Raw genomic sequence first — 26,469 nt, 5'->3', positions numbered from 1 at the left:
AAAATAAATAAATAAATAAATAAATTAAATTAGCTTGGTGTGGTGGCGCATGCCTATAGTCCCAGCTACTCAGAGGCTGATGCTGGAGGATTGCTTGAGCCTGGGAGATCAAGGCTGCAGTGAGCCGTGTTAGTGCCACTGTACTCCAGCCTGAGAGACAGAGCAAGACCCTGTCTCAAAACACAAGTTTGTCTAGTTTTTTTCCTGAACAAATTCTGTAGTCTCTATTCCTTGTCCTCTGTGGCCACTGAAGTCTCTTGGTTAGCTTAGTGGCCACTAATGATTGAACAGAAATTTCTTTAAATGCCTGGAACCAGTATGTCTCCCAGTCTTTGCCAAGGGGATTTGTGTATGTGTTGGGACATACCTTCTGCACTCAGCCTGGCAGTTTACAACGTTGCCTTATCTTTCTCTTCCTGCTTGCTCAGAGCCTCGAGGTCTGCAGAGGTGAGAGATTAAAGCCTACTTAGTTCTTCTGTGGGCATTCGCCTAGCTGCAGCCCAGGGCGTATGTGTGTGGCCTTCTAGATTCCCAGGCATGTGTTGGAGTTATTCAAGCCCCATTTTCCAGCCTTTCCTTCTTCTTCTTCTTCTTCTTTTTTTTTTTTTTTTTGAGATAGAGTCTTGCTCTGTTGCCAGGCTGGAGTGCAGTGACGCGATCTCGGCTCACTGCAACCTCTGCCTCCTGGATTCAAGCAATTCTCCTGCCTCAGCCTCCTGAGTAGCTAAGATTACAGGTGCACACCACCACACCTAGCTAATTTTTGTATTTTTAGTAGAGATGGGGTGTCTAGTAGAGACCATGTTGGCCAGGATGGTCTCGATCCCTTGACCTCGTGATCCACCTGCCTCAGCCTCCCAAAGTGCTGGGATTACAGGCATGAGCCACCATGCCTGGCCTCCAGCCTTTCCTTTTAAGCTTGCTGGTTGATGTATTGTTTGCCTCAACTGCTATTCACTACCCCAGGTTGTAGCATCAGTTTGAGTGAGGTCAAATGAAGACAAGCCTTTCAAGTGGGTTCTTCCAGGGAACCACCAGACAAGTCAAAACAAACAACTGTAATTCTTTGTGAATAAGGTCCATTCTTTTCTCTCTGGTACTGGTACCTGTACTGGGAATGCAGATCATTATCTTCAGGGCTACCACCAAGCTGGGAGCAGGAGATGGGACAAGGGTAAGTTAAAATACCACAAAGCTTACTGTTCTTATGGAGATTCAGCTGGTTTTTCTCCTTCCTTCCTTCCTTTCTTTCTTCCTTCCTTCCTTCTTTCCTTCCTTCCTTCCTTCTTTCCTTCCTTCCTTCCTTCCTTCCTTCCTTCCTTCCTTCCTTCCTTCCTTCCTTCCTTCTTTTTCTTCCTTTTTCTTTTTTGACAGTCTTGCTCTGTTGCCCAGGCTGGAGTGCAGTGGTGCCATCTCAGCTCACTGCAACCTCCACTTCCCAGGTTCAAGCAATTCTCGTGTCTCAGCCTCCTGAGTAGCTGAGATTACAGGCACGTGCCACCACGCCTGGCTAATTTTTGTATTTTTAGTAGAGACGGGGTTTCACCATGTTGGCCAGGCTGGTCTCGAACTCCTGACCTCAGGTGATCTGCCTGCCTTGGCCTCCCGAAGTGCTGGATTACAGGCGTGAGCCACTCAGCTGGTTTTTCTTGATTAAACATTCCTCTGCTTGTTACAAGCTTTCGGTTAGTTTTCAAAGTTCTGAAAAAGTTGATCCTGACAGTTTTTGCCAGTTTTTTCACTGATTTTTATAGAGGCATAGATTTTTGGAGTTCTCTATTCCACCATTTACTTTGTGTTAGCAACATTAAACATTTTAAACATCATTACTTGACATTAAAAGGTTTAAATTTGATGATAACTTTAGTTTCCATTTTCACATGTCCTTTGATTACTTTAACTCTAATCTCCTTCTCTTTCAGTGTTTGTGTTGTTGTGGCCTAGAACTTTATTTTTGTTGCTTTTTCTTTCTTTTTCCACATGTTCTAATGTGGCCTAGTATTTTAGTACCACTTCAAATTTATGATCCCCAAATGCTCCCAATCAATATTTTTCCAAATGACATCATCTTTATGAACACTGGATTATAATTAAACTACATTAAAGCAGCATGTGTTTTAGTGAATAATTCCTTAAATAATAAAGTAATAGGTCTGGGTGAGCTCACATAAGGAGCATTGATGCTTTTTACCAAAGCTGGAAAATTCTCAGCCATTATTCCTTTGAACATTGTTCTCCATAAATCTTTCTATTCTCCCTTTCTAGAATTTGTGTTCAATATATGTGAGCTCTTTTCATTCTATCCTCCATATCTTTATATTTTCCATTTCTTTTTTGTTTTTTTTTTTTTTGACACGGAGTTTCACTCTTGTCCAGGCTGGAGTGCAATGACACAATCTCGGCTCACTGCAACCTCCACCTCCCAGGTTCAAACAATTCTCGTGCCTCAGCCTCCTGAGTAACTGGGATTACAGGCATGCATCACCATGCCTGGCTAAGTTTTGTATTTTTAGTAGAGATGGGGTTTCACCATGTTGGTCAGGCTGGTCTCGAATGCCTGACCTCAGGTGATCCACCCGCCTCAGCCTCCCAAAGTGCTGGGATTACAGGCTTGAGCCACCATGCCTGGCCTATTTTCTGTTTCTTTATCTCTAATGGTGTGTTTTCCTCAGAGCTATATTTTCGTTCGCTAATTATTTCTTCGTTTGTGTCTAATCTGCAGTTTAATAAGTTTATTAATTATTTAAATCACCATTTTCACTTCTAGAAGTTGTATTTGGTTATTGTGCAGGTGTTCAGATAAGCCTGTTGTTTCTCATCCTGATCTTTCATTAAGAAATGTATTTTTAGCTTGGGCAATATAGTAAGACCCCATCTCTAAAAAAAAAAAAATAGGTGGGTATGGTGGCATGTGCCTGTAGTCCTAGCTACTTGGGAGGCTGAGGCAGGAGGATTGCTTGAGCCCAGGAGTTTGAGGCTGCAGTGAGCTATAATTGCCCCACTGCACTCCAGCCTGGATGACAGGGCGAGACCCTGTCTCAAAAAAAATTGTATGTTTTTCCCTTTTTACTTGGGAATAATATAGATTTATGGGAAATTGCAAAAATAGTACAGATATGTCCCATATACCCTTTACTGAGTTTCCTCTATATTATAGTAGTGTAAAAATACTATAGTACAATATCAAAATCAGGAAATTGACATTGGAGCAATAGTGTGTATGCCTTTTTATCCCATGTGTAGACTCCTGTAACCAACACCGTAATCAAGATACAGAACATGGCTGTGCTTTGTAGACAGTGTGTGTCCCGGGTGGTCCTCAGGCACTGTCAGGAGATTTTGGACTCTCTGAAGATCATCCTTGGATCTTGGGTTAAAAATCTGTATTCTAGTCTGAACCATGGGAAGAAAAAAATAGTCGATCTGTGGTTTTTCTACTTGAAGGACACAATGTTTTCCAAACTAGCACCTTTGCAGAGGTTTGCTGTACTTAGTCGTGGAGCTCATTCTTCAGTGGCTTCTGCTACATCTGTTGCAACTAAAAAAAAAAAATCCAGACCGGGTGTGGTGGCTCACGCCTGTAATCCCAGCAATTTGGGAGGCCAAGGCTGGTGGATCACCTGAGGTTGGGAGTTCGAGACCAGCCTGGCCAACATGGAGAAACCCCATCTCTACTAAAAATACAAAATTAGCCCGGCACAGTGGTGCATGCCTGTAATCCCAGCTACTTGGGAGGCTGAGGCAGGAGAATTGCTTGAAACCGGGAGGCAGAGGTTGCAGTGAGCTGAGATTGTGCCACTGCACTCCAGCCTGGGCAACAAGAGCAAAACTCCATCTCAAAACAAAAAACAAACAAACAAAAAAAACCCGAAGAAAACAGTCCAAGGCCCTCCAACCTCTGACTACATTTTTGAAAGGGAATCTAAGTGTGGTGCGCACAATTACCATCCTTTACCTGTAGCCCTGGAGAGAGGAAAATGTATTTACTTATGGGATGTAGAAGGCAGAAAATATTTTGACTTTCTGAGTTCTTACAGTGCTGTCAACCAAGGGCATTGTCACCCCAAGATTGTGAATGCACTAAAGAGTCAAGGGAAGAAATTGACCTTAACCTCTAGAGCTTTCTATAATAACGTACTTGGTGAATATGAGGAGTATATTACTAAACTTTTCAACTACCACAAAGTTCTTCCTATGAATACAGGAATGGAAGCTGGAGAGACTGCCTGTAAACTAGCTCATAAGTGGGGCTATACTGTGAAGGGCATTCAGAAATACAAAGCAAAGGTTATTTCCGCAGCTGGAAACTTTTGGGGTAGGACGTTTTCTGCTATCTCCAGTTCCACAGACCTGACGAGTTATGATGGTTTTGGACCGTTTATGCCTGGCTTCGACGTCATTCCCTGCAATGATCTGCCTGCACTGGAGAGTGCTTTTCAGAATCCAAATGTGGCTGCATTCATGGTAGAACCAATTCAGGGTGAAGCAGGTGTTGTTCCAGATCCAGGTTACTTAATGGGAGTGCGAGAGCTCTGCACCAGGCACCAGGATCTGTATATTGCTGATGAAATACAGTCAGGATAGGCCAGAACTGGTAGATGGCTGGCTGTTGATCATGAAAATGTCAGACCTGATATAGTCCTCCTTGGAAAGGCCCTTTCTGGGGGCTGATACTCTGTGTCTGCAGTGCTGTGGGACGATGACATAATGCTGACCATTAAGCCAGGGGAATGTGGGTCCACATACGGTGGCAATCCACTAGGCTGCCAAGTGACAATTGCAGCCCTTGAGGTTTTAGAAGAAGAAAACCTTGCTGAAAATACAGAAAAAAAATGGGTATTATCTTGAGAAATGAACCCATGAAGCTACCTTCTGATGTTGTAACTGCCGTAAGAGGAAAATAATTATTTATTTATTTATTTATTTATTTATTTATTTATTTATTTATTTGAGTCAGAGGTTCACTCTGGTTGCCCAGGATGGAGTGTAATGGCGCAATCTCGGCTCAATGCAACCTCCACCTCACAGGTTCAAGTGATTCTCCTACCTCAGCCTCCTGAGTAGCTGAGATTACAGGCACGCACTGCTATGCCCAGCGAATTTTTGTATTTTTAGTAGAGATGGAGTTTTGCCATGTTGGTCAAGCTGGTCTCGAACTCCTGACCTCAGGTGATCCAGCTGCCTTGGCCTCCCAAAGTGTTGGGATTACAGGCATGAGCCACTGCGCCCGGCGAGGAAAGGAATTATTAAACGCTATTGTTATTAAAGAAACCAAAGATTGTGATGCTTGGAAGGTGTGTCTACGACTTCAAGATTATGGACTTCTGGCCAAGCCAACCTGTGGCGACATCATCAGGTTTCACCTCTGCTGGTGGTCAAGGGGGATGAGATTCGAGAGTCCAGTGAACTCATTAACAAGGCCATCTTATCATTCTGAGGGTAGCAGCTGTTTTCAATGGTTCCTGGGAGCCGGCTGGAGACAGGTGGTCCTGTAAAAGCTCTGCTCTAAATGTAGGCACATTCCACTCCCATGTGCCGTCAAAATCTTTTTGTGTATATATGTTTTTTTCAGTTGATACATAATAGAAGAACGTTTATGAACCTGCCGTTTGCTTTTGTAATATAAGTAAGAGAATGTAGTGGCATCTATATTCAATGAAAGTGTTTTGATGTGCATATGTACTTTCTAAGGTGAAATGCATCTATGTATACAGACAGCCTTTAAATCACATCCTTCAGTATAATTTATATATGCTTTCATAATTTCCTTGCTGGTATAAATGTTTTGTATTTGAAAAAGTTATCTCTAGCATATTACATAAAAGGCTTCACCTTATAAAGTCAAATCTTTGTTATCATTGAATTTTAGGAAGGATGAATGGTTAAGCATATATAAAATACTAATATTAAGTAAACTTCATGTTGGCCAACATCAGGATGTATTCTATGGATGTCATTATTTTCAATTAAGAATTAGTGTTTAAAATTCCTAAATTGTTTGAGTGTTTGATTATAATTTGTAAAAGAAAGTTTAATATTTCTTTGAATTTAAAATAAAGCTTATATTTCAGAAAAAAAAAAGATACAGAACATGGCTGGGTGCAGTGGTTCATCTCTGTAATCCCAGCACGTTGGGAGGCTGAGGCAGGCAGATCACTTGAGATCAGGAGTTTGGGACCAGCCGGGCCAACATGGAGAAACCCTGTCTCTACTAAAAATACAAAAATTAGCCAGGCATGGTGGCACGTGCTTATAATCCCAGCTACATGGGAGGCTGAGACAAGAGAACCACTTGAACCCGAGAGGCAGAGGTTGCAGTGAGCAGAGGTCATGCCACTGCACTCCAGCCTGGGAGACAGAGCAAGACTCTGTCTCAAAAAAAAGTTACAAACCATTTTCATCACCACAATGCTATCCCTTGTGCTACTCATTTTTGGTAATACTGTCCTCCCATCCACCATCCCTAATCCCTGGCAACCACAAATCTGTTTTTCATTTCTACAATTTTGTCTTTTCTACAATGCTGTGCAAATGAAATCTTATAGTATATAACATTTTAGGGGCTTATTTCACTCAGCATAATTCCCTGGAGATTCATTCAAGGCATTAATATTTATGTATCAATAGTTCATTTTTATTGGTGAGTAGTAATTCGTGGTATGGATGTACCACAGTTTGACCATTCACTTATTGTTGGACATATTGATTATTTCGAGCTTCTGGCGATTACAAGTAAAGCTGCTATGAACAATTATGTATAAGTTTCTGGATGGGCATAAATTTTAATTTCTCTGAAGTGTAATTGTTGAATTGTGTGCTCATTGCATGTTTAGTTTTATAAGACACTATCAAACAGTTTTCCATAGTGGCTGTAAGATTTTACCTTCCCAGCAGCATTTTACAAGGTGTCCAATTTCTCTGCATCTTTGTCACCATTTCGTGTTGTCACTATGTCTTTTATTTTAGCTGTTGTAATAAGTGTGTAGTGATACCTCATCATGGTCTTAATTTGCATCTAGTGAAGCAAATTAGTGTTGAACATCTTTTCATGAGCTTATTTGCTTATTTCCTCTTCAGTGAAATGTATGTTCATATATTTTGATCATTTTCTAATTGGATTATTTGTTTGTTTTTTGCCGTTGAGTTTTTTGTTGTTGTTGTTTGTTTTTGAGAGAGCCTCTCGCTCTGTTACTCAGGCTGGAGTGCAGTGGCATGATCTTGGCTCACTCCAACCTCCGCCTCCCAGGTTCAAGTGATTCTCATGCCTCAGCCTCCCAAGTAGCTGGGATTACAGGCGTGAACCATCATGCCTGTCAATTTTTGTATTTTTAGTAGAGATGGGTTTTTGCCATGTTGCTCAGGCTGATCTCAAACTCCTGCCCTCAAGGGATCTGCCCTCCATCCACCTCAACCTTTCAAAGTGCTGGGATTACAAGCGTGAGCCATGGCCTACTGTTGAGTTTTGAGAGTACTATACATATCCATTATACATTCTGGATGTGAGTCCTTTCTTGGATATGTGGTTTGCAAACATTCTCTCCCATTCCATACCCTGTTTTTTCATCCTTTTAACAGGGTTTCTTGCAGGGCAAAAGTTTTAAATTGGATGAAATCTAATTTTTTTTCCTTATGGATTATGCTTTTTGAACTGTTTACTATGCCCTAGATCTCAGATGTTTCTCCTATGTTTTCTTGTAAAAGTTTCTGTTTTAGTTTTATATTTTAGATTTAAATCTATGATCCACTTGAGTTTTTTTTTTTTGTATAAAGGTATGAAGATTAGGTCTTTTTTTTATTAGCTTATGGCTCTGCAACTTCTCCAGCACCATTTGTTGAGCAGACAATCCTTCCTTCTTTTTGTCGCTTTGTAAAAAGTCAGTGTGGGGCTATTTCTAGGTTCTCTATTTTGTTCCAGTGATCTGTGTGTCTATTCTTCGCCCCATACGACACAGTCTTGATTCCTGTAGCTATATAAGAAGTATTGAAATATGGTAGAGCCATTCCTCCCACCTTATTCTTCTTTTTCAAAAAGTGTCTTAGCTATATATATATATGCATATGTATATATATTTTTGAGATGGAGTCTCACTTGTGTCGCCCAAGCTGGAGTGCACTGGGGTAATCTCGCCTCACTGCAACCTCTGCCTCCTGGATTCAAGCGATTCTCCTGCCTCAGCCTCCTGAGTACCTGGAATTTCAGGCGTGAGCCACCACACCCGGCTAATTTTTATATTTTTAGTGGAGACGTGGTTTCTCCATGTTGGCCAGACTGGTCTTGAACTCCTGACCTCAAGTGATCTGCTAGTCTTGGCCTCCCAAAGTGCTGGGATTATAGGTGTGAGTCTTAATGGTCTCCATTCACACACAATGATTTTAAAATAGACTCCCCTCTGCCTTTCCCTTCCCCAGAAATGTTCCCCTCTGCACCGTGCAATGGTACCTATGAGAAAGAACTGTCCCATTCCCAAATCACTGTCCCCACCCCAGCCCCCAGGCCCTTGGTTGGTGAGACCCTTGATGGGCAGTCTCATGCTTCTGTCCAGGGGACTTTCCCACCGTTGCTCCCCTGCATGGAGACTAAGTGGACTCTTCTATTCCCTGGCCATCACAGAGTCTACAGTGCACACATCTGCCTGATTCCTCCACGTTACCCAGATGACGATTTCATCTGTGTCTCCTCCCACATACTCCCAAATGGACCATCCCAGACCTTGAACCCAAAAATGGTTCAGAGAGCGAAGGCCAAGATGCCCAACCACATGCTGCAGAATCCTGCTCCAGGACTGAAGTGTATAGTCTCTATCAAAATAAAAACTGGAGGCCAGGCACAGCAGCTCACCCCTGTAATCCCTGCATTTTAGGAGGCCAAGGCGGGAGGATCGCTTGAGCCCAGGAGTTTGAGACCAGCCTGGGTAACATAGCGAGACTTTCTTGACAAACCTAAAAAAGTTAGTGGGGTGTGATGGTGCATGCCTGTAGTCACAGCTACTCCGGAGGCTGAAGAGGGAGGATCGCTTGAGCCCAGGAGTTCAAGGCTGCATTGAGCTATGATCATGCCACTGCACTCCAGCCTGGACAGAGCACGACCCAATCTCTAGAAGAAACAAACAAACACCCAGCAACTGGAAACATCCTCCTCTAGAATGGTGGTCAGGAACATCTGTCTGCCTTGTTCCCTGATGTCTCTCCAGCACCTAGAATAGCGCTCAGCACGAGGACACACTCATTAGGGTTTTGTTGAATAAATGACTCCTTTGACACATCAATTCCACTTCTAAGAATCTTTCCTAAAGAAATATTCACACATGTGCACAGAGCTGTGTGGACAATAATGAGAGGAGCAAACAACTGGGGAACGTTTGCAAAGGTTTATTAACTGGCAGTGACTGATACAGGGGAATCGGATGAGGGGAGTACATGCTGAACAGGAAACAGAGTGAGGGGGGCTTGACCAGGACACGTGGCAATGGAGAAAAGCAGATGGGAGATACTTATACTGGTACTCGGTGTGTGTGTGTGCATGTGAGGTGTGTGTGTAAATGCAGAGGAAAAAATCAGAAATTAAACACTCAGACCTGATCTCAGTAGTCACATCTGGGGAGAGAGGAGGGTAGTGCTGTTCTATGGAGAGAATACCTGACAATACTTGTTTTCTGAGGTAGGTGCATGGATACACAAGCCGAAATATGCATTAAGCATGTCTTGCTCATCAAAAGAAAACGCTAATGTCTAACAGAATGGCACACTGCAAGAAAATACAACGGAAACGCCAATATCGAACTCTTGGCACACTAAGAAAAATGATGCTCAACTTTTCACTGTTGTGAACACTTGCTTTCACTTGCTATGCACCTGATGACGAGGGGTCCGCAGCCATGCCCATGTTCGTGAAAGGTCACCACGTTCTGCTTCTCATCATGGGCATGTGTCATATTCCCTGAGGCTGAGGCAAGAAGAGGGAAGGAAAGTAAGTGGCAGTGAGTTCCCACCACGTGACAACTCAATCTCAACTCCTCCTGACCTGCAGACCCTGCCCACTCCGATTCTGCCCTATCTCAGGACCTGCACACACCTTCCACGGTTCCTCGAAGTGAACCATCTGTTCATGCCACAGTGACTTCCTCGCCTAGGCTATCAATTCCTAGGCTAGAGGAAGGTGTGGCCTGCATATCAGGGCTGACCTGGGGTTTGGGAGCCCACAGCATCCTGGGTAGGGAGCATCCCTGGACCTACAGGCCAGGGAGTAAAAAGAGAATGCGAAATCGGCCGGGCGCAGTGGCTCATGCCTGTAATCCCAGCACTTTGGGTGGCCGAGGTGGGCCGATCACGAGGTCAGGAGATCGAGACCATCCTGGCTAACATGGGGAAACCCCGTCTCTACTAAAAATACAAAAAAATTAGCTGGGCGTAGTGGCAGGCCCCTGTAGTCCCAGCTACTGGGGAGGCTGAGGCAGAATGGCGTGAACCCAGGAGGTGGAGCTTGCAGTGAGCCGAGATCGCACCTGGGTGACAAAGAGAGACTCCATCTCAAAAAAAAAAAAAATACGAAAGAGCATGGGAAATCTCATCATTCAGCCTCAATGCTGTACCCTAGAAAATTATGAGAAGGGAATGGTTTGGGGAACAAGTGAGAAGATGGGATACCAGTATCATAACAGAATAGCACATCTGCAGGGATGTGAGGGGTGAGCCGAAGATTCACTTATGGAGTTACTCGTCATCTTCCTCAGGGTCGCTGATCTCTTCATAAATCACCAGCTGCTTTCTCTCACGCAGTCTGTGGGTCCAGTCATGTTTCCGCCTTTTGGGTCCTATGATGAATAGTTGGAAGATGAGGGTTGGGTAGGTTGGAGAGTGTTAGGCTCTGTTTTCTCCAAAAAAGGAGATGCCTACCCCCTCCCAAGTGCCCATGGGCCTTCTTTATCCAGTTTTTCACATTCTCTGGCTTAGAGAGGCTGAGACCTTAGATCCACACCAATACAGGCCAAATGCAAACTAAAATTTTAGCTTCTGGCTCCTTCCATTGTGAGGTTTAGATTCCCAACCTCTTCACTTACGGGAACATTCACCGATACCTCCTTTCATTCAGCAAGCATTTGTTAAGGGCACACAGGCACACTTTGTTTTATTGCTCCTCATTTTTACAGTGCTTCACAGATGCTGCAATTTTTTTTGGAAATTCTCACCAATTTTATACTTTTCCATTATTATTATGTCTGTTATGGTGATCTGTGATCAGTGAGCTTTGACATTATTACTGCAATTGTTTTTGTTGTTTTTTAGTCTTTTAAAATAATTTTTGTTCTTTATTTTGTGGGTACGCAGTAGGTGTATATTCTTATGGGGTACGTGAGATGTTTTGATACAGGCATGCAAATGCGTAGTAATCACATCGTGGAAAATAGGGTATCCATCCCCTCAGCCATTTATCCTTGTGTTACAAACAATCCAATTACATTCTATCAGTTCTTTTTAAACACACAATTAAGTTATTATTGACTATAATCACCCTGTTATGTGTAATTGTTTTGGGGGTACCATGAACTGCACCCATAGAAGATGACAAACTTAATCGATTAATGTTGTGTGTGTTCTGACTGCTCCACCGATGAGCTCTTCCCCATCTCTCCTCCTTTTCTTGGGCCTCCCTATTTCCTGAGACACAGCAACACTGAAATTAGGACGATTAAGAACCCTACAATGGCCGCTAAGTGTTCAAATGAAAGGAGGAGTCACATGTCTCTCACTTTAAATCAGAAGCTAGAAATGGCTAAGCTTAGTGAGGAAGCATGCTGAAAGCCAAGACAGGATGAAAGCTAGGCCGCTTGCACCAAACAGCCAAGCTGTGAATGCAAAGGAAAAGTTCTTGAAGGAAATAATAGTATATAATGTAAAGGAAAAGTTCTTGAAGGAAATAATAATACTAATACTCCAGTGAACACACGAATAAGAAAGCAAAACTGCCTTACTGCTCAAATAGAGAAAGTTTGAGTGGTCAGGATAAAACATGACACCAGCCACAACATTCCCTTAAGCCAAAGTCTAATTCAGAGCAAGACCAGAACTCTCTTCAAGTCCATGAAAGCTGAGAGAGTTGAAGAAGCTGCAGAAGAAACGTGTGAAGCTAGTAGAGGTTGGTTCGTGAGGTTTAAGGAAAGAAGCCGTCTCTATAACATAAAAATGCAAGGCGAAGCAGCAAACCCTGATGGAGAAGCTGCAGCAAGTTATCCAGAAGATCTAGCTAAGGTCACTGATGAAGGTGGCTACACGAAACAACAGATTTTCAATGTAGATAAAATAACCTTCTATTGGAAGGAGATGCCATCTAGGACTTTCATAGCTAGAGAGGATTGACTCCAACTTTGAAAGAAGTTCTACTGTGGGTAAAATGCTATCCAATAGCATCACATACTACAGAGAAATCCTTCATGAAAGGGAGAGCTAATTGATGTGGCAAATTTCATTGTTGTCTTCTTTTATGAAACTGCCACAGCCACTCCACCCTTCAGCAACCACCACCTTGATAAGCCAGCAGCCATCAACACCAAGGCAAGATCCTCCACCAGCAAAAAGAGTGTGACTCACTGAAGGCTCAGAAGATTGTTAGCATTATTGACAATGAATTATTTTAAAATTAAGGTATATATATTTTTAGACATAACACTATTGCACACTTAGTAGACTACACTGTAGCGTAAACATAATGTTTTATGCACTGTCAAACAAAAAACAATGTGTGTGACTCACTTTATTGCAGTGGTCTGGAACTGAACCTGCAATATCTCTGAAGTACACGTGTATTGGGTATCAGGCATTGAGCTGAGTAAGATATGATCCCAGGTTATCACAGATAGAATTGCTTGAGCACCTTTCATGTCATCAGGCCTTCTAGATTAAATTTAATGCTTCCAAACAATTTATGAACTATGATTCTTTATTTCCATCTTATGGACTAGGAATCTGCAGCTGAGGAAATTTGGGAGACTTGCCCCAAGTCACATGTTTTTTTTTTAAATTACACTTTAAGTTCTAGGGTACATGGTCACAACGTGCAGGTTTGTTACATATATATACATGTGCCATGTTGGTGTGCTGCACCCATTAACTCGTCATTTACATTAGGTATATCTCCTAATGCTATCCCTCCCCCCTCCCCCGACCCCATGACAGGCACCAGTGTGTGATGTTCCCCACCCTGTGTCCAAGTGTTCTCATTGTTCAATTCCCACCTATGAGTGAGAATATGAGGTGTTTGGTTTTCTGTCCTTGCGATAGTTTGCTCAGAATGATGGTTTCCAGCTTCATCCATGTCCCTACAAAGGACATGAACTCATCCTTTCTTATGGCTGCATAGTATTCCATGGTGTAGATGTGCCACATTTTCTTAATCCAGTCTATCATTGATGGACATTTGGGTTGGTTCCAAGTCTTTGCTATTGTGAATAGTGCCGCAACAAACATATGTGTGCATGTGTCTTTATAGCAGCATGATTTATAGTCCTTTGGGTATATACCCAGTAATGGGATGGCTGGGTCAAATGATGTTTCTAGTTCTAGATCCTTGAGGAATCCCCACACTGGCTTCCACAATGGTTGAACTAGTTTACAGTCCCACCAACAGTGTAAAAGTGTCAGATGGGTAGATTGCAAAAATTTTCTCCTAATCTGTAGGTTGCCTATTCACTCTGATGGCAGTTTCTTTTGCTGTGCAGAAGCTCTTTAGTTTAATTAGATCCCATTTGTCAATTTTGGCTTTTGTTGCCATTGCTTTTGGTGTTTTAGTCTTGAAGTCCTTGCCAATGCCTGTGTCCTGAATGGTATTGCCTAGGTTTTCTTCTAGGGTTTTTATGGTTTTAGGTCTAACGTTGAAGTCTTTAATCCATCTTGAATTAATTTTTGTATAAGGTGTAAGGAAGGGATCCAGTTTCAGCTTTCTACATATGGCTAGCCAGTTTTCCCAGCACCATTTATTAAATAGGGAATCCTTTCCCCATTGTTTGTTTTTGTCAGGTTTGTCAAAGATCAGATGGTTGTAGATATGTGGCATTATTTCTGAGGACTCTGTTCTGTTCCATTGGTCTATATCTCTGTTTTGGTACCAGTACCATGCTGTTTTGGTTACTATAGCCTTGTAGTATAGTTTGAAGTTAGGTAGCATGATGTCTCCAGCTTTGTTCTTTTGGCTTAGGATTGTCTTGGCAATGCAGGCTATTTTTTGGTTCCACATGAACTTTAAAGTAGTTTTTTCCAATTCTGTGAAGAAAGTCATTGGTAGCTTGATAAGGATGGCATTGAATCTATAAATTACCTTGGGCAGTATGGCCATTTTCACGATATTGATTCTTCCTATCCATTAGCATGGAATGTTCTTCCATTTGTTTGTGTCCTCTTTTATTTCATTGAGCAGTGGTTTGTAGTTCTCCTTGAAGAGGTCCTTCACATTCCTTGTAAGTTGGATTCCTAGGTATTTTATTCTCTTTGAAGCAATTGTGAATGGGAGTTCACTCATGATTTGGCTCTCTGTTTGTCTGTTATTGGTGTATAAGAATGCTTGTGATTTTTGCACATTGATTTTGTATCCTGAGACTTTGCTGAAGTTGCTTATCAGCTTAAGGAGATTTTGGGCTGAGATGATGGGGTTTTCTAGATATACAATCATGTCATCTGCAAACAGGGACAATTTGACTTCCTCTTTTCCTAATTGAATACCCTTTATTTCTTTCTCCTCCCTGATTGCCCTGGCCAGAACTTCCAATACTATGTTGAATAGGAGTGGTGAGAGAGAGCATCCGTGTTTTGTGCCAGTTTTCAAAGGGAATGCTTCCAGTTTTTGCCCATTCAGTATGATATTGGCTGTGGGTTTGTCATAAATAGCTCTTATTATTTTGAGATACATCCCATCAATACCTAGTTTATTGAGAGTTTTTAGCATGAAAGGCTGTTGAATTTTGTTGAAGGCCTTTTCTACATCTAGTGAGATAATTATTTGGTTTTTGTCTTTGGTTCTGTTTATGTGATGGATTACGTTTATTGATTTGCATATGTTGAACCAGCCTTGCATCCCAGGGATGAAGCCAATTTGAGCATGGTGGATAAGCTTTTTGATGTGCTGCTGGATTCGGTTTGCCAGTATGTTATTGAGGATTTTTGCATCGATGTTCATCAGGGCTATGGGTCTAAAATGTTCTTTTTTTGTTGTGTCTCTGCCAGGCTTTGGTATCAGGATGATGCTGGCCTCATAAAATAAGTTAGGGAGGATTCCCTCTTTTTCTATTGATTGGAATAGTTTCAGAAGGAATGGTACCAGCTCCTCTTTGTACCTCTGGTAGAATTTGGCTGTGAATCCATCTGGTCCTGGACTTTTTTTGGTTGCTAGGCTATTAATTATTGCCTGAATTTCAGAGCCTGTTATTGGTCTATTCAGGGATTCAACTTCTTCCTGGTTTAGCCTTGGGAGGGTGTATGTGTCCAGGAATTTATCCATTTCTTCTAGATTTTCTAGTTTATTTGCATAGAGGTGTTTATAGTATTCTCTGATGGTAGTTTGTATTTCTGTGGGATCGGTGGTGATATCCCCTTTCTCATTTTTTATTGCGTCTGTTTGATTCTTCTCTCTTTTCTTCTTTATTAGTCTTGCTAGCGGTCTATCAATTTTGTTGATCTTTTCAAAAAACAAGCTCCTGGGTTCATTGATTTTTTGAAGGCTTTTTTGTGTCTCTAACTCCTTCAGTTCTGCTCTGATCTTAGTTATTTCTTGCCTTCTGCTAGCTTTTGAATGTGTTTGCTCTTGCTTCTCTAGTTCTTTTAATTGTGATGTTAGGGTGTCAATTTTAGATCTTTCCTGCTTTCTCTTGTGAGCATTTAGTGCTATAAATTTCCCTTTACACACTGCTTTATATGTGTTCCAGAGATTCTGGTATGTTGTATCTTTGTTCTCATTGGTTTCAAAGAACATCTTTATTTCTGCCTTCATTTCGTTATGTACCCAGTAGTCATTCAGGAGCAGGTTGTTCAGTTTCCATGTAATTGAGCGGTTTTGAGTGAGTTTCTTAATCCTGAGTTCTAGTTTGATTGCAGTGTGGTCTGAGAGACAGTTTGTTATAATTTCTGTTCTTTTACATTTGCTGAGGAGTGCTTTACTTCCAACTATGTGGTCAATTTCGGCAAAAGTTCAATGTGGTGCGGAGAAGAATGTATATTCTGTTGATGTGGGGTGGAGAGTTCTGTAGATGTCTATTAGGTCCACTTGGTGCAGAGCTGAGTTCAATTTCTGGATATCCTTGTTAACTTTCCGTCTCATTGATCTGTCTAATGTTGACAGTGGGGTGTTAAAGTCTCCCATTATTATTGTGTGGGAGTCTAAGTCTCTTTGTAGGTCTCTAAGGACTTGCTTTATGAATCTGGGTGCTCCTGTATTGGATGCATATATATTTAGGATAGTTAGCTCTTCTTGTTGAATTGATCCCTTTACCATTATGTAATAGCCTTCTTTGTCTCTTTTGATCTTTGTTGGTTTAAAGTCTTTTTTATCAGAGACTAGGATTGCAACCCCTGCCTTTTTTTGTTTTCCATTTGCTTGGTAGATCTTCCTCCATCCCTTTATTTTGAGCCTATGTGTGTCTCTGCAAGTGAAATGGGTCTCCTGAATACAGCACACTGATGGGTCTTGACTCTTTATCCAATTTGCCAGTCTGTGTCTTTTAATTGGAGCATTTAGCCCATTTACATTTAAGGTTAATATTGTTATGTGTGAATTCGATCCTGTCATTATGATGTTAGCTGGTTATTTTGCTCGTTAGTTGATGCAGTTTCTTCCTAGCATCGATGGTCTTTACACTTTGGCATGTTTTTGCAGTGGCTGGTACTGGTTGTTCCTTTCCATGTTTAGTGCTTCCTTCAGGAGTTCTTATAAGGCAGGCCTGGTGGTGACAAAATCTCTCAGCATTTGTTTGTCTGTAAAGGATTTTATTTCTCCTTTTGCTTATGAAGGTTAGTTTGGCTGGATATGAAATTCTGGGTTGAAAATTCTTTTCTTTAAGAATGTTGAATATTGGCCCCCACTCTCTTCTGGCTTGTAGAGTTTCTGCCGAGAGATCCGCTGTTAGTCTGATGGGCTTCCCTTTGTGGGTAACCTGACCTTTCTCTCTGGCTGCCCTTAACATTTTTTCTTTCATTTCAACTTTGGTGAATCTGACAATTATGTGTCTTGGAGTTGCTCTTCTCGAGGAGTATCTTTGTGGTGTTCTCTGTGTTTTCTGAATTTGAATGCTGGCCTGCCTTGCTAGGTTGGAGAAGTTCTCCTGGATAATATCCTGCAGAGTGTTTTCCAACTTGGTTCCATTCTCCCTGTCACTTTCAGGTATACCAATCAGACATAGATTTGGTCTTTTCACATAGTCCCATATTTCTTGGAGGCTTTGTTCATTTCTTTTTACTCTTTTTTCTCTAACCTTCTCTTCTCACTTCATTTCATTCATTTGATCTTCAATCACTGATACCCTTTCTTCCACTTGATCGAATCGGCTCCTGAGGCTTCTGCATGCATCACGTAGTTCTCGTGCTGTGGTTTACAGCTCCATCATATCATTTAAGGTCTTCTCTATGCTGTTTATTCTAGTTAGCCATTCGTCTAATGTTTTTTCAAGGTTTTTAGCTTCTTTGCGATGAGTTTGAACATCCTCCTTTAGCTCAGAGAGGTTTGTTATTACCGATTGTCTGAAGCCTTCTTCTCTCAACTCATCAAAGTCTCCATCCAGCTTTGTTCCGTTGCTGGCAAGGAGCTGCCTTCCTTTGGAGGAGAAGAGGCACTCTGGTTTTTAGAATTTTCAGTTTTTCTGCTCTGGTTTCTTCCCATCTTTGTGGTTTTATCTACCTTTGGTCTTTTTTGATGGTGATGTACAGATGGGGTTTTGGTGTGGTTGTCCTTTCTGTTTGTTAGTTTTCATTCTAACAGTCAGGACCCTCAGCTGCAGGTCTGTTGGAGTTTGCTGGAGGTCCACTCCAGACCCTGTTTTCCTGGGTATCACCAGCAGAGGCTGCAGAACAGCAAATATTGCAGAACAGCAAATGTTGCAGCCTGATCCTTCCTCTGGAAGCTTCGTCTCAGAGGGGCACCCAGCTGTATGAGGTGTCAGTTGGCCCCTACTGGGAGGTGTCTCCCAGTTAGGCTACTCGGGGATCAAAGACCCACTTGAGGAGGCAGTCTGACTGTTCTCAGATCTCAAACTCTGTGCTAGGAGAACCACTACTCTCTTCAAAGCTGTCAGACAGGGACGCTTAAGTCTGCAGAAGTTTCTGCTGCCTTTTGTTCCGCTATGCCCTGCCCCCAGAGGTGGAGTCTACAGAGGCAGGCAGGCTTCCTTGAGCTGCGGTGGGCTCCACCCAGTTCAAGCTTCCTGGCCACTTTGTTTACCTACTCAAGCCTCAGCAATGGCGGGCGCCCCTCCCCCAGCTTCACTGCCGCCTTGCAGTTCGATCTCAGACTGCTGTGCTAGCAGTGAGTGAGGCTCCGTGGGCATGGGTCACTCCGAGCCAGGCGCAGGATATACTCTCCTGGTGTGCCGTTTGCTAAGACCACTGGAAAAGCACAGTATTAGGGCGGGAGTGTCCCGATTTTCCAGGTGCCATCTGTCACGGCTTCCCTTGGCTAGGAAAGGGAATTCCCCAACCCCTTGCACTTCCCCGGTGAGGCGATACCCCGCCCTGCTTCGGGTCATACTCCATGGGCTGCACCCACGGTCCAACCATTCCCAATGAGATGAACCCGGTACCTCTGTTGGAAATGCAGAAATGCGTCATTCATGCTGGGAGCTCTAGACTGGAGCTGTTCCTATTTGGCCATCTTGGAACCTCTCCCCTGTCACGTGGTTTTTTATATGGATGACAACTCCACCCTGTGTCTCTGGAAGTCAAGTCTAACATCTCATCTGGAGCTGAGCAAGCTCCTCAGCCCAGGCTGGACCCAGGCTTGTCTGGGGTCCATGCCACACACCCAGTCCACACACCTGAACATAGCCAGGGAAGCCAGAGGGGTTGTTCCCAAATTGTTTGCTCTTACCAGATGTCTTGTTAATCTTCTCAGGGGTACTTGGTTTTCCTGGGGGCACAGCTGTTTCCCATCGTTTTGTGGGATCCCATATAAGCTTGTAGACAGCTGCTGGGAGAATAAATGTAAAAACATAGGGAGGGGAGAAAACACTGTGGGGAAAGATGGTGTGGGGAGATGAATACAGGGATGGGAGAGGTAAAGAAATGGTTTGCTGAAATTAAACTAGGCAGCAAAGAAAGCAGTACCAGATCTGGCATACCACCCTACCGAGGCATCAACATTGAATGTGGAATTAAGTGAGATGGTACCCATACCAATTCTGGTTGCATTGGGATATGTCACTGACCAACAATCTTAAGCTAGTTTTTTTTTTTTTTTCTTCTTTTTTGAGATGGAGTCTTGCTCTGTCGCCAGGCTGGAGTGCAGTGGCACGATCTTGGCTCACTGCAACATCCGACTCCTGTATTTAAGTGATTCTTCTGCCTCAGTCTCCAGAGTACCTGGGACTACAGGCAGGTGCTGCCACGCCAGGCTAAGTTTTGTATTTTTAGTAGAGACGAGGTTTCACCATGTTGGGCAGGATGGTCTCGATCTCTTGACCTCGTGATCTGCCCACCTCAGCCTCCCAAAGTGCTGGGATTACAGTTGTGAGACACCGCGCCCGGCCCTTAAGCTACTTTTTATTCAGCTTCCTCACTTATGAAATAGTGAATAATACATGTAAAATAGGCTAAGGGAAAGTCCTCTCTGAGCTTGTAAACACTGTTTATGTGTAGTAATAATAACAATTAATACCTTTCATGATCCTTCTTTGAATTTGGCCTCCATACTGGCAACCCAATCCCAGATCCCTTTACCCTCTAAACCAGAGTTGAATCTGCACTTGTGGGGTCACTCATTCAGGGGCCTCCGAGGATCCCCTGGGCTGGGACTGGGGCTTCTCAGATGCCCCAGGTGCACACAAGGCCATCAAGGAGCTCACAGTAGGGAGGGGCCAACAGTCAAAGCGATTCCTAAGCCATGTGAGTGGCCCCGGTAACAGAGCAGAGGCCAGCTGGTCCTTCCTGTTGCGAGAGTGGGTGTCTCAACGGAAGCACCAGGAGGCCCTATGGGGTGAAGCCCTAGTGAGCAACATCTGAACTTCATAAACAAATGCAAACGTGAATGAGCTTTAAATGGCTTGGAGCTCTGGATTAGACTACCACTGCCACTGTGCCCCAGGAAAATTCTTTAACATCTCTGTACAATGATAGCCTCATTTTATTATTATGCTGCTGATAACTATGATCTAAAACATGTCCAACATGGTGAAACCCTGTCTCTACTAAAAATACAAAAATTAGCCAGGTGTGGTGGTAGGTGCCTGAAATCTCAGCCATGTGGGAGGCTGAGGCAGAAGAATCACTTGAACCCAGGAAGCGGAGGTTGCAGTGAGCTGAGGTCCTGCCGCTGTACTTCAACCTGGGTGTCACAGCAAAACTCCGTCAAAAATGAAAAAAAAAGTAACAACAACAACAACAAAACAATAGAAAGACTGGAGAGAAGGCACTACTTAAAGAAATAACATTCTAGAATTTTCTGAACTGAACAAAGACATGAATCTTCAAACTGAAAAGAGCCATCTAGTTCTGAGCCTGATTAACACACATGTGCACACACACCTGCGTGCACGCACACACACACACACACACCCTTGGAGTAAAATTTCTAGGATAGAGATAAAATCCTGAAAGGTCCCAGAGAGAAAGAGAGAAGAGAGAATGCAATGGAGAAGTTTTTCAAGGAGCTGATTAAAAATAAGTTTGGGCCAGGTGCAGTAGCTCACGCCTGTAGTCTCAGCACTTTGGGAAGCTGAGACGGGAGGATTGCTTGAGCTCAGGAGTTTGAGACCAGCCTGGCCAACACGGCGAAACCCATCTGTACAAAAAATACAACAAGTAGCTAGGTGTGGTGCCACGTGCCTGCAGTCCCAGCTACTTGGAAGGCTGAGGCAGGAGAATCTCTGAGTCCAGGAGGTGGAGATTGCCATGAGCTGAGATGGTGCCACTGCATTCCAGCCTGGGTGACAGAGCCAGGCACTGTCTCAGAACAACAAAACAAAACAAAAACAAACAAACAAAAAAAGTTGAACCTAGATATCTGTATACAGCCAGGATAATCCACAATGAGGGAAAAAATAGTTCAGAAAATTAATGACACATATACCCTTCAGAAATAATTATTGGTATACAGCCCTATGAGAAAAGAAAAGTAAATTTAAGAGGAAGGTGATTTCAATAAGCAATTGTTAGAAGAAAAATAGTAAAATTTATTAAACAGTGTAAACTTTTGATTGTAAACTTAAAAAATTATAGTCTTGAAATAAAATTCCCAGTATTATAAACATGGAAGATGGGACGAGGGACAGGAAAAAAAAAGAGAAGTTCTTTTGTTGTTCAAGGAATGGATACCGACACTAATGAATGATAGAATGGTAGAGTGGCTAAAAGCATTAGCATTTTATTTTGTTTTATTTTAGAGACGGCCTCACTCTGTTGCCCAGGCTAGAGTTCCATAGCACAATCATGGCTCACTGTAGCCCCAGCCTCTTCAGCTCAAGTGATCCTCCTGCCTCAACCTCCCATGTAGCTGGGACTACAGGCGTGCACCACCAAGGCTGGCTAATTAAAAATTTGTTTTTTTGGTAGAGAGAGTGTTTTCCTATGTTGCCCAGGATGATCTTGAACTCTTATCCTCAAGCAATCCTCCCACCTCAGCCTCTCAAAGTGGTGGGATTATAGGAGTGAGTCACTGTGCCCACTTAACGCTAGTATTTTAGAGTGCAAACTCTGGAGCCAGACAGCTTGGGTTCAGTTTCTGGCTTCTCAACTTATTAAGGTATGTGACCTTGTGTAACTCATATAACCTTTCCGTGTTTCAGGCTACTCAAGAGTAAACTGGGGATAACCACACTATCTAACTCACTTGATTGCTATGATTAAATGGGTAAGTACGTGTAAAGCACTTAGAATAGCGCCTGTCATGTGGTTAAGTTAGTATATATCTTTTAGGTGTTGTTAGTAATGACTTCAAATTACTTTTAAAATGTAAAGGCATATCTGGTTCAAGAAGAAGATGGTGAACCAGGAATAGCTGCTGGCTTCCTTCCCAAACCCAACCCTGCAGATGCCACAGAAGAGGTGGGAAGTGGTTGGAGTTCAGAACAGTTCCCAGTAACAAAACCCTTGATGGTTTAGCCCCACTGGGGGATGAGATGGCTTAGAGTGGGAAAGGTCAGAGGCCACAGATGGAGAATCAGCCCAGGCGGAGCTTTCTAAGTTGCATTCTTTTTTTCTCCTTATTTTCTAGAAGGCTTATTACCTGTTCTGTAAACATACAGAGCAGAAACTTGGCAGGGCTGGCCCAGTGCTAGCCCAAAGTGGCCTGATAACATTAAAGAATAAGGGGCTTGGAAAGCTCCTAGAAAAAGTGCAGACTCATCAAAGCTGGTCAGTAACTGAGCATTCCTTTCCTACTTCTCCCTCTGCCCTCTGAGCTACGCAATTACAACCGGTATCACTCACCCGTAGACCCCCTCCACGCTGTAAGGCAGAAATCCTGTAAGGGTCTCTGGGGGCTCATAGGCTAGGGACTGGAAAGAATTGGCTCAGCTCAGCTCTAGAGGCTCCCTATCCTACGACCTATCAATCCAGAAACCCTAAAACTCACATGGAGTGTCTGGGCTTACACATCTTCCCAGGAAGAAAGGGTTATATAGAAAAACTATCTGACAGCCCAGGCAGGGTGGCTCACACCTATAATCCCAGCATTTTGGAAGGCTGTGGTGGGAGGATCACCTGAGGTCAGCAGTTTAAGACCAGCCTGGCCAACATGGTGAAACCCCATCTCTACTAAAAATATAAAAGTAGTTGGGCGTGGTGGTGCACACCTGTAACTCCAGCTACTCAGGAGGCTGGGGCAGGAGAATCACTTGAACCTGGGAGGCGGAGGTTGCAGTGAGCCGAGATCACACCATTGCACTCCAGCCTAGCCAACAAGAGTGAAACTCTGTGTAAAAATAAATAAAGAAAAAAAGGCAAGGTGCGGTGGCTCACGCCTGTAATCCCAGCACTTTGGGAGGCTGAGGCGGGTGGATCACCTGAGGTCAGGAGTTCGAGATCAGCCTGGCCAACAAGGTGCAACCCCGTCTGTACTAAAAATACAAAAATTAACCTGGCATAGTGTCACATGCCTGTGGTTCCAGCTACTCAAGAGGCTGAGGCAGGAGAATTGCTTGGACTCGGGAGGCAGAGGTTCAGTGAGCCAAGATCGTGCCACTGCACTCCAGCCTGGGTGACAGAGCAAGACTCTATCTCAAACGAATAAATGAATAAATAAATAAATAAATAAAAAGAAAAACTATTGGATAGATTGGATATGAAAACATTAACTGCTCAAATAAATTATTCGGTGGAATAGATTGGATATTAAAACTGATAGAGTTGAAAAAGCAATTACTGAGCTGAGGAAATGCGTCTAAAGAATTCATGAAAGTAATCGGTAATGGATAGAGAAGAAGTAAATGAAAGAAAAGTTAATTAATAGGGAGGATAGAAGAATAAATGTCAAAACACATCTAATAGTAGCCTTATAAGAAGAGAATATAGTCATTAAAAAGGAGAGTGTACTTAAATAAGTAATCAATGAGAATTCCTCAGATTTAAAAAAATGACTTAAGATTTAAAGGTATTATAGTACACACACAGGAACAGTGAAATGTAAAATTGTGAAAGACAAGGAAAAAATATTTTAAAATGATCGGAGAGAAATAGCAGGTTACTTACAGAGGAAAATACAATGTCAAGCATGTAAGACTTCAGGAGATTGAAGACACAGGGAAATGTTAAAGCAAACAAGTATTTATTGCACTTATTAAAGACTGTAAGGAAGGGTCAGCTGCAGTGGCTCATGCCTGTAATCCCAGAACTTTGGGTGCCCGAGGCAAGAGGATTGGTTGAGCCCAGGAGTTCAAGACCAGCTTGGGCAACATGGTGAAACCCTGTCTCTACAAAAAATAGAAAAATCCGCCGGGCACATCAAGTTCCTGCGTCTGTAGAGAACTGAAAAAAAAAAATACCTGGGTGTGGTGGTGCGTACCTGTAGTTCCAGCTACTTGGGAGGCTGGGGCAGGAAGATTGCTTGGGCCCTGGAATTTCAGGCTGCAGTGAGCTAGGATTGGGTCACTGCCCTCCAGCCTGAGTTACAGAGTGAGACTTTGTCTCTGAAAATAAAAAGAAAAAAAGATCGTAAGGACGATTTTACTCAGAGGGGGGACTACTGTGATAGGTACAGGGACCACTGCAATGGGGTCTTGCAGTGGGAGAGTGATATTGGGATCGACTTCAACTCCACAAGGACAAGTGGGGATTTGTAGTCAGGGAGTAGGAGCCGGGGGTCAGAAGATGGGAAATTACTTGGAGGAAGCCTCAGGTGCAGGGGGATTCTGGCTAAACCGACTTGACAGGTTTTTTGCTGAAAAAGGCTAAATGGGCAGAGTCCCTGGATGAAGGACAGAGCCTGAGGTTGAGACCTAGTCAGAAACAGGACTCAGAGGAGCCCGATTCAAGTTTGGTCAAAGGAGAGTGTCTCTGTCTGAAAGCATAAGCAAGAAAGCCAACAGCAGTAAAATGAATGGGTCACAAAGGAGAATTTTTGTGCATTGCTAAGCAGGGCTCTGCTTTAACCATTGTGAAAGAAGTGAGTCATTCTTTTTTTTTTTTAGATGAAGTCTCGCTGTGTCACCCAGGCTGGAGTGCAGTGCGTGATCTCGGCTCACTGAAACCTCAGCTTCCTGGGTTGAAGCGATTCTCCTGCTTCAGCCTCCCGAGTAGCTGGGACTACAGTCACGTGCCTCACACCGGACTAATTTTGTATTTTTACTAGAGACAGGGTTTTACCATGTCGACCAGGCTGGTCTCGAACTCCTGACCTCAAGCCATCTGCCCGCCTTGGCCTCCCAAAGTGCTGAGATTTCAGGCGTGTGCCACTGAAACCCACCTGAATTGAGTCATTTTCCACATACACAACTAGGTCAGAGTTGAGTGGCCAGGGGAGAAACCAATCAGGGCACATTGCACCTGCTCCAAGAATTGAATTTTCCACAAAGCTGGTGGCTGAAATGGCCTGCTGCCACCCTAAGAGCACTTTTACCTAGTAACTGCTGAAACAACCTGCAATGACTCTAAGGCTTGTTTTACCTATTGTCCACACTCACCAATCAGAGCTTCCAGCTCCTGAAAGCTTCTCTGGTGCCAAGGGACTTGCTTTAAAAACTATAGGTAACATTTCTGTTTCTAATAAAACTCTCAACTTTCTCGTTGTTCTTTGGACATACCAAAGACCAGCCAGTTTGTGTGTATGCTTCAGATTACAATTCTATGATTCTCAAATAAAATGTTTAGAGATTCATGGGCGTGGTGGATCATGCCTGTAATCCCAGCCGTTTGGGAGGCTGAGGCCGGCGGATCACTTCAGCCCAGGGGTTCGTGACCTGCCTGGGCAACATGGTGAAATCCTGTCTCTACAAAAATTACAAAAAATTAGCTGGATGTGGTGGTGCATGCCTGTAATCCCAGTTATTCCAGAGGCTGAGTCGGGGAGGCAGAGGTTGCAGTGAGCCGAGATTGTGCCACTGCACTCCGGGGTGGGCGACAGAGTGAGACCCTGTCTTAAAAAACAAAAACAAAAACCATAATATAACATCCTTAATATTGCGATTTAAAAAAGAGATTCATCTCCATAGGTTTTGACTTTGATATTTGTGGTGTCAGAAATCGGGTCCGAAGCTGACTCACCTTGGAGATATCAATGACCTCTGGAACTATGGCGTGAGGTCTGCACACTTGGTCCCCTTGAGCTTTTGCTTTTCTGGTTGCCTCTTTCCCCCCGGTGAGACTTTCTTGGATCAAACTGCCATTTGTCGGGGAGTTGAGTTCAGTTTTATTTGGGAATTTGTTAGGAAGGGTCTTTCTCTGTCTCCTGGTTATGAAACCTCCTCTTTTCTTTTCCTTTCTTTTCTTGTCTTGTCTTTTTTATCTTGTCTTTCTCTTTTCTTTCTTTTTTTTTTTTTTTTTGAGACAGTGTTTTGCTCTGTCGCACAGGCTGCAGTGCAGTGGTGTGATCTGGGCTCACTGCAACCTTCACCTCCCAGGCTCAAGTGATTCTCGTGCATCGTCCTCCCGAGTAACTGGGATTACAGGTGTGCGCCACTACGCCTGGATAATTTTTGTGTTTTTTAGTAGACATGTGGTTTCACCCTGTTAGCCAGGCTGGTCTTGAAGTCCTGAGCTCAAGTGATCTGCCCGCCTCGGCCTCCCAAAGTGCTGGGATTATAGGCGTGAGCCACTACACCCAGCCAGAGACGGCCTGTTTAAGAGGGATTT

The 26,469-nt window shown here is 43.2% G+C and overlaps 3 pseudogenes, besides 2 other annotated features; 1 reads left to right on the top strand and 2 right to left on the bottom strand.

Annotated features, from left to right (window-relative positions):
• Positions 3,285 to 6,070, top strand: LOC791096 (ornithine aminotransferase pseudogene; annotated as a pseudogene).
• On the bottom strand, positions 9,353 to 10,811 carry SSX17P (SSX family member 17, pseudogene; annotated as a pseudogene).
• Positions 18,032 to 18,532: an enhancer, noted in NCBI's record as "H3K4me1 hESC enhancer chrX:48292177-48292677 (GRCh37/hg19 assembly coordinates)". NCBI's record gives its function as "activates a minimal SCP1, AML or CMV promoter by ChIP-STARR-seq in naive H9 embryonic stem cells {active_cell/tissue: H9 hESC(naive)}" and the evidence as "EXISTENCE:reporter gene assay evidence [ECO:0000049][PMID:30033119]".
• Positions 18,533 to 19,033: an enhancer, noted in NCBI's record as "H3K4me1 hESC enhancer chrX:48291676-48292176 (GRCh37/hg19 assembly coordinates)". NCBI's record gives its function as "activates a minimal SCP1, AML or CMV promoter by ChIP-STARR-seq in naive and primed H9 embryonic stem cells {active_cell/tissue: H9 hESC(naive and primed)}" and the evidence as "EXISTENCE:reporter gene assay evidence [ECO:0000049][PMID:30033119]".
• On the bottom strand, positions 19,056 to 19,129 carry SSX16P (SSX family member 16, pseudogene; annotated as a pseudogene).

Source organism: Homo sapiens, chromosome X, assembly GCF_000001405.40.
Source record: "Homo sapiens chromosome X, GRCh38.p14 Primary Assembly".
Lineage (NCBI taxonomy): Eukaryota > Metazoa > Chordata > Mammalia > Primates > Hominidae > Homo > Homo sapiens.
The sequence above is the reverse complement of the archived record's forward strand: the minus strand, read 5'-3'. Positions and strand labels throughout refer to the sequence as shown.